At 44.1% G+C, this 18,087-nt stretch overlaps 1 protein-coding gene across 29 annotated transcripts in view, besides 2 other annotated features; it reads right to left on the reverse strand.

The window, feature by feature from the left end:
• Positions 1-18,087, reverse strand: part of WHRN (whirlin) — a 103,394-nt gene that overhangs the window by 25,000 nt on the left and 60,307 nt on the right. The window lies entirely within an intron of this gene.
• Positions 7,750-8,249: an enhancer, noted in NCBI's record as "H3K27ac-H3K4me1 hESC enhancer chr9:117197109-117197608 (GRCh37/hg19 assembly coordinates)". NCBI's record gives its function as "activates a minimal SCP1, AML or CMV promoter by ChIP-STARR-seq in naive H9 embryonic stem cells {active_cell/tissue: H9 hESC(naive)}" and the evidence as "EXISTENCE:reporter gene assay evidence [ECO:0000049][PMID:30033119]".
• Positions 7,815-7,934: an enhancer, noted in NCBI's record as "active region_28866". NCBI's record gives its function as "activates an Ori minimal core promoter by ATAC-STARR-seq in GM12878 lymphoblastoid cells {active_cell/tissue: GM12878}" and the evidence as "EXISTENCE:reporter gene assay evidence [ECO:0000049][PMID:35858748]".

Genomic DNA, 18,087 nt, shown 5'->3' on the forward strand with positions numbered 1-18,087 from the left:
TAGTGAGATTCCATTTCTAAAAATAATAATAGCCGGGCACAGTCGTGTGTGCCTATAGTCCTTAGCTACTTGGGAGTCCGAGGCAGGAGGATTGCTTGAGCCCAAGAGTTCGAGGCTGCTGTGAACTGTGATTGCACCACCATACTCCAGCCTGGACAACTGAGCAAGATCCTCTCTTTTTACAAAAATACTTTTAATGAAGGAATGTAAAAACAGAGGCAAAAAATAAAACTAGCCTTCCAATAAAAACAAATATGTGACAGAAATAGAAGGGGTTGAAAGGGAAGATGCTGCAGGGTATGATGGGACCGCACCTTTAAACTCGGGGTTCCTTTCACAAATGGGTCAACTGAGGTCCAAGGACGGGAAAGGGCTGCCCAGGGTCATGTGCCACTGAGGCCTTGAAGGGCAGCCTCACAATGCTGGTTATTCTTGGCTGTTTTTCCTTTTCCCCAGTTTCCCAGCCTGCTGAGAGCACATGATCAACTCCTGTAGGTTTATCCAGCATTTTTCAAAGATTTGGAAAAGGTAAGACAAATGGGAGCTTGGGAGAAAAGAAGATGGGATTACCAGGCTGAGAACCAAAACCCTGCTCCCCAGTTCCCCGGCTTTTCTTGAATGCCTCACCCCAGTTGGGAGTTTCCAGTATAGAAAGTGGTTACAAAGACAGACTTTACCTCTCTCCTCTGCACCGGCTTTGACACTCAGGGGAGGCTTGCTGCCTCTGCCTCCATGACTCTAACAGAGTGGGGTCTGTGCTGCATTTCAAGCATTCACCACCATTTACTGCAATGCCTACTGTGTGCTGGGATGTTGTGCTGAGCAGGATAATCTGCTCCTGTTCCATTTAGCTCACGATCAAGGGTGAGCTCAGCTTTGCGTGATGACTGAGTTTCCCCATCAGCCTCTCCACACTGTATCCCCAGGGCCCAGCACACAGTAGGAATTAAAAAAATCATCAGATGAGGCCAGGCATCGTGGCTCATGCCTGTAATCCCAGCACTTTGGGAGGCTGAGGTGGGCAGATCACTTGGGGTCAGGAGTTCAAGACCAGCCTGGCCAACATGGCAAAATGCTGTCTCTACTAAAAGTACAAAAATTAGCCCGGCGAGGTGGTGCGCCTGTAGTCCCAGCTACTCGGGAGGCTGAGGCAGGAGGATTGCTTGAACCCTGGAGGCAGAGATTGCAGTGAGCCGACATCGTGCCACTGCACTCCAGCCTGGCTGGGTGACAGAGCAAGACTCTGTATTAAAAAATAAAATCAGATTAATAAAAAGACACGCATTTCCATCTATTCCAACTCCAGGACCATCTCTGCTGCAGCTCAGAGATGCACATTACACCAGCCTTCTTTGTCCCTTTATATGTTTTCTCCTTAATATCACCAACATCCTATAAAGTAAGTATCATAGCTCTCCATTTCACTAGAGAGGAAACTGAGGCTCAGAAAGGTTAAGCACATAGTTTGTGGTCACAGTGCTAGTGAAAAGGAGTGCTGATTTGCACATCCAGGTCAGGCCAGCACCAAGGCCCCTCTGCTTTCTACTGCTGGGCTGCTGCCCGGAGCGCTGTTTGGGGACCACGTGATATCGCTTCAAATCCAGCGTGTCCAAAGCTACTGTGCTGCCATCCTTTCCCTGACCCTGCCTGCAGCAGCCAGATCTGAAAACTTCATCTCATCATCAACTCTGCCTTTACCCCCCTGAGCAGATCCTTCAGCAAATCCCGTCCTCCACCCCCATCAGCCCCCTGACCTCGGTTCCTACCTGCTCCCTCCCACGTGAGCGAGCTAGCATCCTCATCACTGTGCATTTACATCTAAACTGGCCAGACATAGTACCAGATTAATTTCTTTTTTTTTTTTTCTTGGAGACTGAGTCTCCCTCTGTTGCCCAGGCTAGAGTGTAGTGGCGCAATCTCGGCTCACTGCAACCTCCACCTCCTGGGTTCAAGCAATTCTCATGCCTCAGCTTCCTGAGTAGCTGGGACTACAGGTGCACACCACCACGCCCAGCTAACTTTTTGTATTTTAGTAGAGGTGGGGTTTTGCCATGTTGCCTAGACTGGTCTCAAACTCCTGAGCTCAGGCGATCCACGCGGCTTGGCCTCCCAAAGTGCTGGGATTACAGGCGTGAGCCACCGCGCCCCGCCAGTGTCAGATTAATTTCATCAACTTTTTGCTTTGATGACATCTCTCCCTGCTTAAACACCTCCCATGACCCCTCATAATCTAGGAGGAAGCAAAGCACTATGGCTAATGGTTTCAAAGACAATCAGATCTGGGTTCAAATGCTAACTCTATCACTTCCGTGCCACATGGCCCCACAAAACCCACAATAGCTTTTGTGCCTCACTTTCGTTGGGAGTAAAAAGGGAGTCCTAGCCCAGGATTGTCCTTCTCCAAATACCTAAAGTCAGCAGCATCTCAATGCCACATGCTTTCACCATGCCCCCAGCAATATCTGCAATTCTCTTTCTCCCTTTTTATGTCTCTGAGCTCCCCGGTTGAGAAGCCAGGGCCCCTGAGAACTTCGGCAGCCCTGGCTGGTCTCCCTGTAAAGAGCGTGAGACAAGACCCAACACCTGGCTCGGGGCTTGGTACTCAGCAAGCACTCAATCAGTGCTTATGCATGCAGGTGTGGATACTGCCCTTCCCTATCTCGCCTCTGCAGCTCCCTCCTCCCCTCTCTCTCCCAGCTGGCTTTCGCTGATGCTAAGAGGCAGAGCTGTGCAGCTCTCCCAGGTACTCAGGCCTTACTGAGAGTGGAGGAGAAACTCATTCCTGCTGGGCTCACTGGCACCCAACTTGCTAAACCACCTCCCCACGTGGCAGCTCCATCTCTCATCTCTGCTGGGCAGGAATCTTCTCCATTTCCACCTGCTGCTCTGAGCTGGAGCTGGCTGCACTCTTCATCGCGCAAGGGCTTTGTTTCCTTAAGTATGCCCCTCAATAGCTTTCGCTTTCGTTGCGCTAAGGGCATCAATTTTAATCTTCCCTTTAACACACTTTATATCATCCCTGCAGTTTAGTTAAAGGAACGGGCATCCAAGAGACCAGCTACGGAAGGGCATCCTTCTGTATGCAAGCCTCTTTCTATGGGTCCAGGCCAGGAGGGCAGTGAGGGGAGGGAACAACTCAATTCTATGAGCATCGACGTGGCCTTCTATGAGGCTGGGGGAAGGTTGCCGGATAAAATATAGGATGCCCAGTTAAACTTGAATTTCAGAAAAACAAATGCTTTAAAAATATACATATGTCCCAAATATTGCATAGGGCATATACATACTAAAAAACATATTCATTGTTTATCTGCACTCAAATTTAAATGAGCATCCTGTGTTTTTATTACTGAAAATCTAGCCACCCTGGGGTGGAGGTATCAGTCACCTCTGGGACCAGTGGCTCTTATGGGGGCTGATTTAGTGTTGTGGCTTCCAAACCTAGGTCACTTCCCTCACCCTGAGCCTGGCACCTGGCACTTATGCAACCTGAGTCGCAGGAATTACCCAGCATCCCACTTACTTCAGCCTCATCCTAGGCATTAATATGCGTGAAATCCCAGGTTGGCTGTGCGAGTCACATTGTCCTCATGCCTGTTAAGTAAATATATCCCTACCAGATTTGAAGAGGCAGCATAGATTCCTGTGCAATCTGCCTGGGGAACGGCTGTGAAATGGGAGTCACACTTGGGAAACCCTGACTTACTGGGGACGTGTAAGCCCATCTTCCCAATCTCTTTTCAATCCTCTCCTGTCTCTTCTTCCTCCAGAGCCTGTGTTCAAACCAAAGTGCTAGGTAGGACTGGCTTCAGGGTCTCCACAGGGCCCTCCGCAGCATGTGAGTTGGTTTTGAGTGGCTCCCATTTTTCTGTGTCCAGCTCTCTCCCTTTTCCTCTACTTGTTGGAAAGCTTCCCCAGGTCTAGGAGCCCTGTCAGAAGAGCTGTCTACACGATCACTGTGATGTAGAGTCCACAAACCACTTTCAACCAAGTCTGGTGTCTTCTCTGCTGCTAGTGTCCTAGTGTCACCCCGTGTGGCCAGTGGAGTGTGGAGTCCCATCCCTACATTGCAGCCTCTAGTTTTAAAGCCAGGCAACCGTGACATAGTAGCTGAGTGGCCCCGCACAGCTCTCAAGTACAACCTGAGTCTCAGTTTTGTCATCTATAAGATGGGCATGATACTACCACTAGTTCCCAGGTAGCTGTGAGAATCAAATGGAACCACCCTGCACAGAGCCTGAGACACATCAGGCTTTCCATGGCTTCTCATGTGCTTCTCTTCCAGATACAGGAGACAGGTTCAGAGATGTTGAGGGACTTGCTCAAGGTCACTGGTCGTACTGGAAGTAAACAAATGAACCAGCCTTTGAGCCTAATCTTCTCATCTTCTTCCTACCAGCCTATGCCACCTTCACCCCAGCACAGCACTGGCATGCGGGAGATGCTTAGGAAATAGTGAATGGATGGGGGGACCCGGCCTTCCTCCTCTCTTGTTCTCACTTCTGTTTGTTTCCCCTTTCCCGTCAGTTGGTGTGAGTGAATTTGGAGGCAGCATGTTTAAAGATCTTACTCTCACTCTTTCCCAAAGAAAACTAAGAGCTCTGTTTGTTTGTTCATTGCAATGTGGCTTTTTCCTACCCACTGAAACCAACTCAGAGTTAGACGGCACAGGAAAATAAAGCAGAAAATAGAGGCAAAGATGCTGTATCCATCGGGGCCTTCCAAGGCGTCTCTTATAGATGCAGAATCCAAGGCTCAGAAAGGACAGGAACATGTCTAGGGCCACAGAGCAAGGCAACAGCAAAGCCCAGACCCACAGCTAACCGTGGAAACACTCATATCCCTCCACCAGAGCTCACTGGGACAGGACGTGCTGGAGATAGGAGAGACAGGTGCCAAGTGTGATCGAGTGTCTAATATTGCTCAGCTTGCTTGCAGGGCACTGATGGGGAGGACAAGGAAAGATAAACGAATAAAGGCAGCTTTATTTTATTTGTCACCATGGGAATCCTATTTGTCACCACTGATGGAGGAGTGGAGGGTGGACCATGGAATGCCCTTCATTTTAAGGCAGAGGAAAGACTCCTCCATCATCCACAGCCCACTGAGTGACTGGCTCATGTTCAGACACTTTGAGAAGAGCACGGCGGGGCTTCAATAAGGGCAGGATACCGATTTCCCTGAAATTGGCCAACCACCAGTAAGCAGAGAATTCAATTCCCTTAGGTCTGGGGCAGGCGCAGGAGCCCCAGGAGGAGAGGGGACCCTCGTAACAGCGGAAACACTCAGTGGACCTTGCTGGGTTAACGGAGCCCTCTTACTCTCCAAGAGACCTGAGGAAAATAATTTCATTGTTCTAAGCCTTCCTTCCCAAAATGGGAACAAGACCACTAACAGCTAGTGTGTTGTGCAAAGTACACCAGTGGCCATCTGGTGTGTGTTTCTGAGCACAGACCCAGGAGTCTCTGACTAATTCTACACTCTGTCACTTACTTGCTGTATGACCTTGGGTAATTGACTTCACTTCTCTGTGCCTGTTACCTCCTCTGGAAAATAGAGATCATATCAGTACCTGGTTGACAAATGAGTTAATACATTCCCCAGTGTATCACCAACACTTAAAACAGGGTCTGGCACATAGTAGGTGCTCAATAAATATTTACTGAATGAACAAGTATAAAGCACATAAACAAGTAGCTAACATACAGTAACTGCATGGGTCTCCATGGGGCCATAAATGCAATAAATGCATTTTTGAAAGCCATGCTTATCCCTGAATTCACCTGTTGATCACTCACCAACCAAATCTAGCAATTCTACCTCCAGGGTGTCTCTCAGCGCCACCCTCTACCTTTCCACCTACCTTCCCCAGGGCCCTGCCTCTGGCTTCCACTGACCTACACACATTGACCACACCCATGAAACTCATATTTTAATCCCATTTTACAGATGAGGAAGCCGAGGACGGGAAGTAGAGTCATTAAGAGCTGGGATCTGGCCTTCATTCTACCAGCCAGCAAGGCCCCTGCACGAACCAATACCACACTCTCCTTTAAGAAAAGCCAGCCTGCCCTTCCTCTACTTCTTACCCCTCCCAGCCCTGGGCTTTAGGCCATGCACTCAGTAGGTGCTGTATTCGTGCCCGATGAAGGGAACTGGCAGGAAGAACCTGTGGCGGAATGGCAGTAGCTTCGAGCTCCCTCGCCAGAAGTTGTTAGGAGAGAAGGCTGCCAACAACCTGATCCCGAGGCTGAGCTGGGAGACGGGAATCCATCCTCTCAGGCCGCGCGTGCACCTGTACCAGCCACGCTGGGAAGGGCCCGAAAGAAGCCGATTTCAGAGTTGCCTTCAGCACCCTCCCAAGCCTGTGTTAAAATGGATCTTGCGGCTTCAAGGGAGGTCCCTGTTGGCTACAGCATTATCACAAGGAAAATTCAAATTCTATTAAAGAGTTTTATTGCAATTATGAATCTTTAATAGTTTTCCATGTCAGGTGTAAAACTTTAATGGGCTGTTTTTTTTTCTTTCATTACAAGTAAGCAATACAGTTTTAATGAGACATTAGTTTTTCCCAACAGTTCAAAAGTCAGTAAAGCTTGTCCATATTTTGAAAAAGAAAATAAAAAGATGCAGGTAATTGCTAAGACAGTTCCTGGAGCAAGCTCAGGGTATGGGCTGGGTCTGGGTGAGCTCTTCACCCAACCCTCTCTGGTTTAGAGCTCTCACAAGGCAGAACCTAACCAGAAATGCTGTGGATGGACCCGGCAAGGCTAATGCACACTGACTCCCAATATGGTCTATGCTTCCTTCCGGTTCTCTCTTCTGACATTGGCAGATCCGTTGTTAGTACCTGCTTACTCTATTCACCACACAGGAAGCCTCAATGAAGGCCTGCTCTAACCCAGCCATCAATCAAAACTGAGGCCAGAAAGGGGAAAGAACTTGCCCAAGGTCGTACTCTGAGTCAAGGTCAAACCTGAGTTCTTCCCAAAGGAAAATCTGGCTTCCAAAGTAAACAGAGAAATTACAGAGGTCAAACACAGAAAGAATAACAATTACCAACCCCAAGTGCCTTGCTTAGGCCAGCTACCTTGTACAGTTTAGCTCTAAACTTAATAGGCACCGCCTGAGACATGGAAGGGTCCGTGTTTCATAGATGACAGCAGTGAGGCTCAGAGAGGTGAAGCTACTTGCCCAAGGACACCCAGCAAGCAAGTAGCAGAGTGGGATTTGAAGCCAAACCAATTGCTATTCTGAGACCCAGACCTGCAATAATGGAAATGTTCTATAACTAGGCTGTCCAACAACTATTATTTACATTTAAATTACAATAAAATTAAAAATTCACTCCCCCAGTCACACAAGTTCCACTTCACTAGCCACATGTGACTAATGGCCACCATCCTGAACAAGCCTAAACACAGCCCCAGATCAAACCCCTGACCTTTCCTCCAAGCCTGGTCCTTCTCCGGGGCTCCTCATCTCATTGCTCAATCCTAAAATTCCAAACCCACTGGATCTATCATCAAGCCCAATGCATTTTACTTTCCCTTCCAAAAGGACCCTCCATCTTCACTAACTCCACTCGGATCCCAGCTGTCCTTGTCTCTCACCTGGACCATTACCACAGCCTCCTAAGGGGCCTCCCTGCTTCTACTTTCACCACCTTGCCCGATACTTTCCTTATGTAGAAGACAGATTCATTTAAACTGCAAACCTGATCTCGTCACACCCTCCTTTAAAATGCCCCAGTAGCTTCCAAGCTCCTCTGCCTACCCTGAGAGGGGCATTAGCATCCGAACCAATCTCGCACCTTCCTCCCCTACTGCTTTTTTTCCGATCCAACCATACTTGCCATCTCTCAGTTCACTCAACAGATGGAGCCCTTTCCCCACTCCAGACCTTGGAGACCAGACCATTGTTCCTCTGCCCAAAACGTATTTCCCTTCATTCCTCACCTGGATAACACCTACTGAACGTCCAGGTCTTGGCTCCAATGACACCTCCTCCAAGAAGCCTTCTCCAGCTCCAAGGCAGATATCACTAATCCCCCTCGCCCAGGGCACCGTGCAGCACTCACTCCCCACAGTTTGAGATCGTACTAGACTACAGACAGAGAGTTCAAAGTCAGTGCGCTGCACCCCCTTGAATGGCACATGGGAAACACCTGACAAATGCCTGACGGAATCCATGAATGAATGAATAAACAATTAAATAAATGGATGAGCAGGCATACAAACAAGCTAGTCCCCTCCCCATTCTGGTTCCTGCAGACAGGCCGGAGACATTTCCCATTTATGTAAAGGTTGCATTTGACAAGGCCAGGGCATGTAGGGAGGCTGGGTACATGCAGCCCAGCTCTACAGGCTGCAGCAGGGAAGGAGCATTTGATTTTTACAATCAAAGGGAAGACAAAGAGGTAAAAACACAAATCAGTTTTGTTTTTACAGGAATCACACTCTGGGAAATGGTGTACATTTAATCCAGCCCCTCATTCTGAAAGAAAGAAAACTAGGGTGAGAGGTAGAGGAGGGGTGTCACTGGTCCAAGGCTTCCTGGGCAGTTGGGGCAAAGCTGGACCAGAATCCAGTCTACCACCTGCTTCAAGCTGCTCTGTAGACCTGCAAGAATCAAGTTCTCAAGCTCAAGTCCACAGCCTTCACAGACACAAACAGTGACCAGCTGGAAGATAAGATGGAAGGAAGGGGAAACCTCATTTATAGTAGCAACAGAAGAGAAAAAACTACCAAGGAATAAACTTAACAAGAAATGTTAACAACACCTATATGAAGAAAACTTCACACACTTCTAAAACACTCTAAAACACTCAAAATTACTCAACAAATAAAATATCCCCTTTTCTTGGAAAGGGTTCAGCATTATCCAGACATCGGCTCTCTCTCAGCTCACTTATGTATTTAACATTATCCCAACAAAAACATCAACAAGCTTTTGTTAGAAAAGTCAGCAAAAATTCATGGGGAAAAATAAAAATGCACAGGGAAAAGCCTTAAATGCATACTGCTAAGGGGAGGAAGCCAGTCTGAAAAGGCTACACACTGCATGGTTCCAACTATGTGATATTCTGAAACAGGCAAACTGATAGAGACACTGTAAAGATCAGTGGTTGCCTGAGGCTCAGGGAAGGATGAGAAGTAGAGCACAGAGGATTTTTAGAGGGGTGATACTCTTCTGTATTACACTATAATGTTTGATACATGACATTATGTATTGATCAAAATCCAATGAACTGTGAACCCTTATATAAAGTATGGACTAATAAAAATATTATCCATATTTGCTCATCAACTGTAACAAATGTACCCCTTGTACACTAATACGAAATGTTAATAATAGGGGAAAATGTGTTGGGGACGGGTTGGGGCAGAGGAGGTATAATGGGAACTCTGTAGTTCCCACTCAATTTTTCTGTAAACCTAAAGCTGCTCTAAAAAAATAAATCTATTGGTCCGGCGCAGTGGCTCATGCCTGTAATCCCAGCACCTTGTGGGGCCGAGGTGGGTGGATCACCTGAGATCAGGTGTTCGAGACCAGCCTGGCCAACATGGTGAAACCCCGTCTCTACCAAAAATACAAAAATTAGCCGGGCATGGTGGTAGGCACCTGTAATCCCAGCTACTTGGGAGGCTGAGGCAGGAGAATGGCTTGAACCTGGGAGGCAGAGGCTGTAGTGAGCCGAGATTGCGCCACTGCACTCCAGCCTGGGTGACAGAGCAAGACTCCATCTCAAAAAACCAAATAAATAAAATAAATAAATCAATTTTAAAACATAAAATAATTTTATTATTTAAATATAATGAAAAATAAAAAACTTTTTGCTATTTAAAAATAAAAACAATTTTTAAAATCTAAAAGTATAAAATGCACGAATGGCTATGAGAAACCCTGATACAGAAAAGCTACTAGAGAAGCTACCAGACACTAAAGCCTGCTCTAAATCCTCCGTAATTACACCAGTGTAGCACTGACTCATGAGTAGACAGACAGGCGGTGAAACAGACTAGAAATAGGCCCAAGGACACACAACATTTTAGTGTATGATAAAGGTGGCACTACAAATCACTGTGACAAAGACAGACTTTTTAATATGCAGTAGTAGGATAAATGAGTAGCTATTTAGAAAAAGATAAATCATGCCCTCTATAAGACTAAATGCCAAACAGATCAGAGGTCTAAAGGAAAAATGTATTTATAGGCATTAAGAGAAAAAATAGATAAGTTCATCTATACCCTGGGCATAAGGAAACATGTAACCTGACTCAAATTCAATAAAAGAAAGGATTAATAATTAAATTAGATTTAAAATGTATAAAACTTTTGTATTAAAAAAACTCTATAAGCAAAGTCAAAAGAAAATGACAACCAGCATGTTATGGGCTGAATGTTTGTGTCCCCCCCCAAATTCCTACCCTAACCCTGAATCTGATTGTATTTGAAGATAGGGCCTGTGAGGAGGTAAATACAGTTACCTTCTAATCCAATGGTGGGGTCCTAATCCAAAAGGGTTGGTGCCCTTTATAAGAAGAACAAGAGACACCTGAGTCCTCTCTTGGCCATGTGACAACACGGTAAGAAGGCAAGCCATGAAGATAGCCCCTATCAGGAACTGAACTGGCCAACACGTTGACCCTGGCCTTCCCAGCCTACAGAAATGTGAGAAAACAGAGTCCTATTGTTTAAGCCACCTTGTCTTTGGTATTTTAGTCAGCCTAAGCTGACTAAGACACATGGAGAGAACACTTGCAATATATACCACAGATAAAGGGCCAGTTAGCTCTAATATTTAAGGAATTCTTAAGTTTTAGAGGAAAAAAGATCCAAAATCCTGAGAGCAAAAGGATAATAAAAGACATGAACAAGTTACAAAGAAGACATTATAAATGGCCATTAAATATATGAGAAGATGTTCAACTTCACCCATAATAAGAAAATTGCCCAGCCTGGGGAATATGGTGAAACCCCATCTCTACAAAAAATACAAAAAATTAGCCAGGTGTGATGCTGCATGCCTGTAGTCCCAGTTACCTGGGAGGCTGAAATGGGAGGATCACTTTAGCCTGGGAGGCGAAGGTTGCAGTGAGTCGAGACTGTGCCACAGCACTCCAGCCTGGGTGAGTGAGTGAGACAGATTGGGTGCTGGGTGAGTGAGACAGATTGAGATCCTGTCTCAAAAAAGAGGGGAAAAATTGCAAAATAAAGCTACATCAAGGTACCATTTCTCATCTATCAGATTGAGAAAAAAATTTAAAACTTTACAGTGACCGTCAGCTATGGAGAAACAGGCACACTTTTACACAGCTGGTGGGAATTCAGGATGGTCCAACACTTAACGGAATCCCACTTTCTTTTTTTTCTTTTTTTTTTTTTTTTGAGACAGAGTCTCACTCTGTCACCCAGGCTGGAGTGCAGTGGCGCAATCTTGGCTCACTGCAAGCTCTGCCTCCCGTGTTCACACCATTCTCCTGCCTCAGCCTCCCGAGTAGCTGGGACTACAGGTGCCCGCCACCACGCCCAGCTAATTTTTTGTATTTTTAGTAGAGATGGGGTTTCACCTGTTAGCCAGGATGGTCGCTATCTCCTGACCTCATGATCCGCCCGCCTTGGCCTCCCAAAGTGCTGGGATTACAGGCATGAGCCACCGCGCCTGGCTAACGGAATCCCACTTTCAAAAATTTACCCTGAAGATATATTTCCCAAAGTGATAAAATACATATGCACACAGTTACTCACTGAAGCACTGTTTGTGACTGTAAAACACTGAAAATAACCTAAATGTCCATACAGAGGAGAACGGTTGGATAACGTATGGTACAGCCACACAGCAGAGTACACACGGCTGTCGAAAAGAATGACAAAGACCTCTGTGCACTGACATAACAGGATTTCCAGGATACGGTGAAGAAAATTAAGTGCAAAAGAGTATCTATAGCATGCTATCTTTTATAGAAGAAAGAAAGCATATAGATATAAATCTGCTTATTTTTACAAAAAGAAACAGAGGAATAAACCAAAAACTTATTTGGTTGCCTTTAAGGAGCAGGTGAGAATGGGTAGAAGGGACATGGGGAGTCGTACTCGGAGTGTACCTTTTTGTATAGTTTTGATGTTTTAGTACTTAGAAAGTAAAATTAAATCAATAAAGATGGGGGAAACCCTATTCAATGCCAGCAAAAACAAATGAACCTTGTTCATATGAATAACATAATTCAGCTGAAGTGGGAAACAAAATAACTAACCCAAGTAACAGACTGCTTTGACCATAAACCCTCAGTTTAAGGACAAAATAAACTGCAAACAAATCAGAAGCTCTACTTCACATGGCAATTCTGAAACTACTTTTGTGTCTTGTAAAATTGGGCAAATGGGTAAACACTTAAGGTAGGTTCTTGATTTCTCACTGTTGAAGAAATGGGAGAAGCTAGGAAGAACCATGTAATGTTGGCCTAGAAGAGGAGGTATCAGTATGAGTGAACTTACGTTTTAGACAAATATTGAAATATTTATATTTCATGTATATCTGTATGTACACACACATAGATATATGTGTGTACACACATGTATGAATATGAGTGTGTATTATATGTATACAGTTGACCCTTGAACAATATGGGTTTAAACTGTGTAGGTACACTTATATGCAGATTCTTAAATATACTGGAATTTTTTTGGAGATTTGTGACAATTTGGAAAAACAGATGAGCCATGTAGCCTAGAAATATTGAGAAAATTAAGAAAAAGGTATGTCATGAATGCATAAAATATGTGTAGATAGTCTACTTTATAATTTACTATCATAAAACATACACAAATCTATTATATTTATTTATTTATTGAGACGGAGTCTCTCTGTCGCCCAGGCTCCAGTGCAGTGGTGTGATCTCAGCTCATTGCAACCTCCGTCTCCCGGGTTCAAGCGATTCTCCTGCCTCAGCCTCCCAGCCAGCTGGGATTACAGGCATGCGCCAACATGCCTAGCTAATTTTTGTATTTTTAGTAGAGACAGGGTTTTACCATGTTGGCCAGGCTGGTCTTGAATTCCTGACCTCAAGTGATCCGCCCACCTTGGTCTCCCAAAGTGCTGGGATTACAGCCGTGAGCCACTGCACCCAGCCACAAATCTATTATTTTTAAAAGTTAAGAAGAAATTTTTTTTTTGAGATGGAGTCTCACAGTGTTGCCCAGGCTCAGTGCAGCGATGCAATCTTGGCTTGCTGCAACCTCTGCCTCCTGGTTTCAAGTGATTCTTCTGCCTTAGCGTCTCGAGTAGCTGGGACTACAGGTGTGCACCACCACACCCAGCTAATTTTTTTGTATTTTTAGTGGAGATGGGGTTTCACCATGTTAGCTAGGCTGGTCTCAAACTCCTGACCTCAGGTGATCCGCCCACTTCGGCCTCCCAAAAAGTGCTGAGATTACAGGTGTAAACCATCCTGCCCGACCTAAAAAATTAAGATTTATCAAAACTTACATACACAAACCCTTGCAGATAATACATGGCACCATTCACAGTCAAGAGAAATATAAACAAACATTAAAATGCAGTATTAAATCATAACTGCATAAAATTTACAGAAGTACACATGGTAGTACTGTAATAATTTCAAAGCCACTTTCTGTTGCTAGTTCAGTGTGCTCAAGTTTTGAAAGTATCAGCTTAAAACGCCGTGTGCCGCTCATCATCTCTGCATGAGCAGTCTGTCTCTACAGTAAATTGCATATCATAGTAAAAAGTGGTCTCTCGTGGCTCTCATATATTTTTCAACATATTTTGTGCACTACCATAAAGCTTGAATAACACCATAGGATCCCTATGAAGTGCCACTAGTGATGCTGGAAGTTCTCCCAAGAAGCAGAGAAAGTCATGACATTATAAGAAAAAGTTGCATGGCTTAATATGTGCCACAGATTGAGGTCTGCAGCTACACTCGGGCACCATTTCAGACAGACGATTCATCTGGTAAACAGATGATGTAAACTTACGGAATCAATAAATTCAGTAAGGCACTATAAATGTATTTTCTCTTCCTTATGATTGTCTTCATAACATTTTCTTTTTCTAGCTTTATTGTAAGAATATGGTATATAGATATATAACATACAATATATGTGTTAATTGGCTATTGGTAAGGCTTCAGGTCAATAGTAGGCTATCAATAGTTAAGTTTTTGGAGAATCAAAAGTTATATGTGAATTTCAACTGTGTGGGAAGGTTGGCACCTCTAAGCCCTGCATTGTTTAAGGGGTGACTGTATGTACAAATGCAGGCATGTATATTTCCTAGCTTTGTCCACTAAAAGCCCTGTTAGTAATGACACCTCAGTAGCAATAAGCCCATCTAGCCCCCAGATCTTGATATCTAAATGCCATTCCCCATTGAGAAATATCATGGCCTAGTGGAGAATGGCTGGTTCCAAGGCTGGGCAGGAAAAGTACAAGATGAGCCTGAACCATCTTCTTGAGTCAGAAAGTAAGGAAATTCTCTAAAAATGACAGATGCATGTCAAATGGACACAGAAGCCAGGCTGAAGGCTCTGCCATATCCAAATCTGGGACACTCTGAGTATCAAAGTAAATAATGCCAATCATAAATAACAAAGTAAGAAGGCATGAATCCATATTTGTACTAAATAAATAAATCACAGGATAAAGCTCCTCTCTACAGTAAAATAGCAAGTGAGTTTTTTAAAATTTTGCAAAACAACTGAATCAGGGAAAACTAGTAGGTAAATTTTGACACAGAACAGAATATTTACAGTCTCAAAATATCACCTGCAAATACGTTATTATAAAAGGAAAAACAGTACAGAAACCTGGCAGACATTACTTACCCAAGTGATCAGTGTTACCCTCACTAATAACGGGACAAACTAACATCACGGGACCCACCAAGGACCTGACATCAAAGCTAGCATGATCCTGCCAAAATGCATAAACTAATCCAATCATAGCAACCATCAGATATCCCAAATAGAGAAACATTCTACAAAATAATGAGCCAGAATGTTTCAAAAATATCAATGTCATAGGAAGATAAAGGCTGAGGAACTGTTCCAAATTAAATGAAACTAAACAATCATAAAAACAAAATGCAACACGTGATCCTGGGTTGGCTCCTGGACTGGGAGCAGAAAGAATTGCTACAAGAGGACATTATTGGGACAAATGGCAAATGCTGGGGCTATGCAGATTGGATAATAGCATTGTACTGATGCTAAATGTCCTGATTGTGACCATTGTTCTGTGATTATGTTAAGTGAATGTCCTTGTTCTTAGAGAAAAAAAATACTGAAGTATTTAGGAATAAAGAGGCATGAGATAGACAACTCCAATGCTTTAGACGGGAGAAGAGAAAAATAGATAAAGCAAATGTGGCGAAACATGAAAAACTAGTGAATCTGGGTGAAGGGCTGATATGGTTTGGATATTCGTCCCCTACAAATCTCATGTGATCCCCAGTGTTGCAGGTGGGCCTAGTGGGAGGTGTCTGGGTCATGGGGGTGGATCCCTCATAAACGGCTTGGTGCCCTCCTCACGGTAATGAGTTACCAGGAGATCTAGTTGTCAAAAAGAGTCTGGGACCTCCCTGCTCTCTCTCTTGCTCCCTCTCTTACCATGTGACAAGCCTGCTCTCCTTTGCCTTCTGCCATAAGTGGAAGCTTCCTGAGGTCCTCACCTAAAGCAGTTGCTGGCACGGCCTGCAGAACAGTGAGCCAGACAAAACTCTCTTCTTTATAAATTACCCAGGCTCGGATATTCCTTTAGAGCAACGCAAAACGCACAAATACAAGGGTATATGGGAGTTCTTTGCAGTATTCTTGAAATTATTTCAAAATAAAAAGATTTAAACAAAACAAAACAAAAAAAAACTTCTAGGTCCAGTCCTTTGTGAGGAGTATCAGACATCAGAATCTAGAGTGTGTTTCCACTTCTGTGCTTCATAGCCATAAAGAAAGAAATTGACCTGCTCTTCCAAATACATGGGAATCCTCCAACTCCTACCAAGAAGAAAGCAGTACTGTTGCGGCCAGCACCAAACAATGGAAGAATATTAGACAAGAGCCAAGTGCCTCCCAAGGGGAAGAGCTATAATAGGTGTTGGCAATATTGTACACATCATATGAGTATTCTACACTGCTGGACCAATCACCACAAACTCAGTGGTTTAAAACAACACGAATTTATTATCTTACAGTTCTGGGGTCAGAAATCTAACATAGGTCTCACTGGGCTAAAATCAAGATGTCAGCAGGACAGAGTTCCTTTCTGGAGAGTCCGGGGGACAATCCAATTCCTTGCCCTTTCCAAGCTACCAGAGGCCTCCTACTTTCCTACTTTGGTAGCCCCTTCCTCCATCTTCAAAGCCAGCAACCTCGCACCAACAAGGCCTTCTTATACAGCCACCTCTCTGGTTCCCTCCTTCTGATTCCCACCTCTACTTCAACAACCCTTGTGATGACACGCGACCCACCAGGATAATCCAGGATCATCTCCCTACCTCAAGGCCAGCTGAATAGGAGCTTTTATTCCCTCTGCCATATAACCTAACATAGTCACAGGTTCTGAGGATTCGGATGTAGACATTTTGGAGGGTCCATTAGTGTGCCTCCCATATTTGTGGTAACAAAAACATGGTGGGCATTCATGAATAGCCAAACAGAACAGAATACCAGAAGGTCCCTGTACTAGTCCATTTTCACACTGCTGATAAGGACATACCCAAGACTGCATAATTTATAAGGAAAGACAGGTTTAATGGACTCACAGTTCCACGTGGCTGGGTAGGCCTCAAATCATGGAGGAAGGTGAAAGGCACGTCTTACATGGCAGCAGGCAAGAGAGAAATGAGAGCCAAGCAAAAGGGGAAACCCCTTATAAAATCATGGGCACTCATGAGACTTACTACCACGAGAGCAGTATGGGGTTTCCCCCCACCACCCGGTTCAATTATCTCCCACTGGGTCCCTCCCACAGGACACAGGAATTATGGGAGTACAATTCAAGACGATATGTGAGTGGGGACACAGCCAATCCATATTAACTCCCGTACCCCATCTAGATGAGGAAGGGTTAGTGGGGCATCTGGCACTTCACCAGCTGGAGCATAACTTGGTTGAAACTTGCTAAGAAGCATTTGACAAAATGGTGCAAAAACTTTTGCAATTTTACTGCTAGGAATTAACCCCAACCAAATAACCATGGTTATACAGAATTTAAATTTACAAAAAGAATTTGAACCCCCTCCAAAAAGTCTATGAATTAATGTTAGTCAAATACTGCATGGTATATCCATACAGTAATTATTATACTGCCATTAAAAATGATATATAATATTTAATCACATATAATTATTTTTTCCAATTAAACTTAAAAAAAATTACAAAACCAATATAATGACATAGTACAAATAGTCAAACAGTAAAAAGGGGGGTATATACAAACTGTAAAAATCTCCCCTCCGAAACCCCCTTCTCTTAAAAACGCATCTCCATTCCTGAAATCTAAAGCCCCAGGATCAGTTTCTTGGTCATTTTCTCAGGGATTCTCTTCACATATACAAGTATGTACAAATAAATATATTCCTCTTTTTAAAAAAGCAAAAATGGAATTACATAACCATACTCTGTAACTTGCTTTTTTTCACTTAATATTTTGCAAAGGTCTTTCTCACATGAAGGATCTGAATGCTATATATATAATATATATATATATGCACACCTCTACTGGCAGGATAAATGCTAAAATGTTATGGAAGGTGGGGGAAAGAAAACAGTCTGATCCCAGTTTTGCTGAAATATTTTATCCATATTATATTCCATGTAGACATTACACACTGAAAGGTTATACAACAAAATTGTGGCACTAGTTTTCCCTAAGTGTAGGGTTTTCTCTGTTTTCTACAGTGAACATACTTTACTTTTGAACTCAGGTTTTTTAATGTTATTATTATTATTATTATTATTAGACAGAGTCTCACTCTGTCACCCAGGCTGGAGTGCAGTGGTGTGATCTCGGCTCACTGCAACCTCCACTTCTTGGGTTCAAGCGATTCTTGTGCCTCAGCCTTCC

The sequence above is a fragment of the Homo sapiens genome, chromosome 9, assembly GCF_000001405.40.
Source record: "Homo sapiens chromosome 9, GRCh38.p14 Primary Assembly".
Classification (NCBI taxonomy): Eukaryota; Metazoa; Chordata; class Mammalia; order Primates; family Hominidae; genus Homo; species Homo sapiens.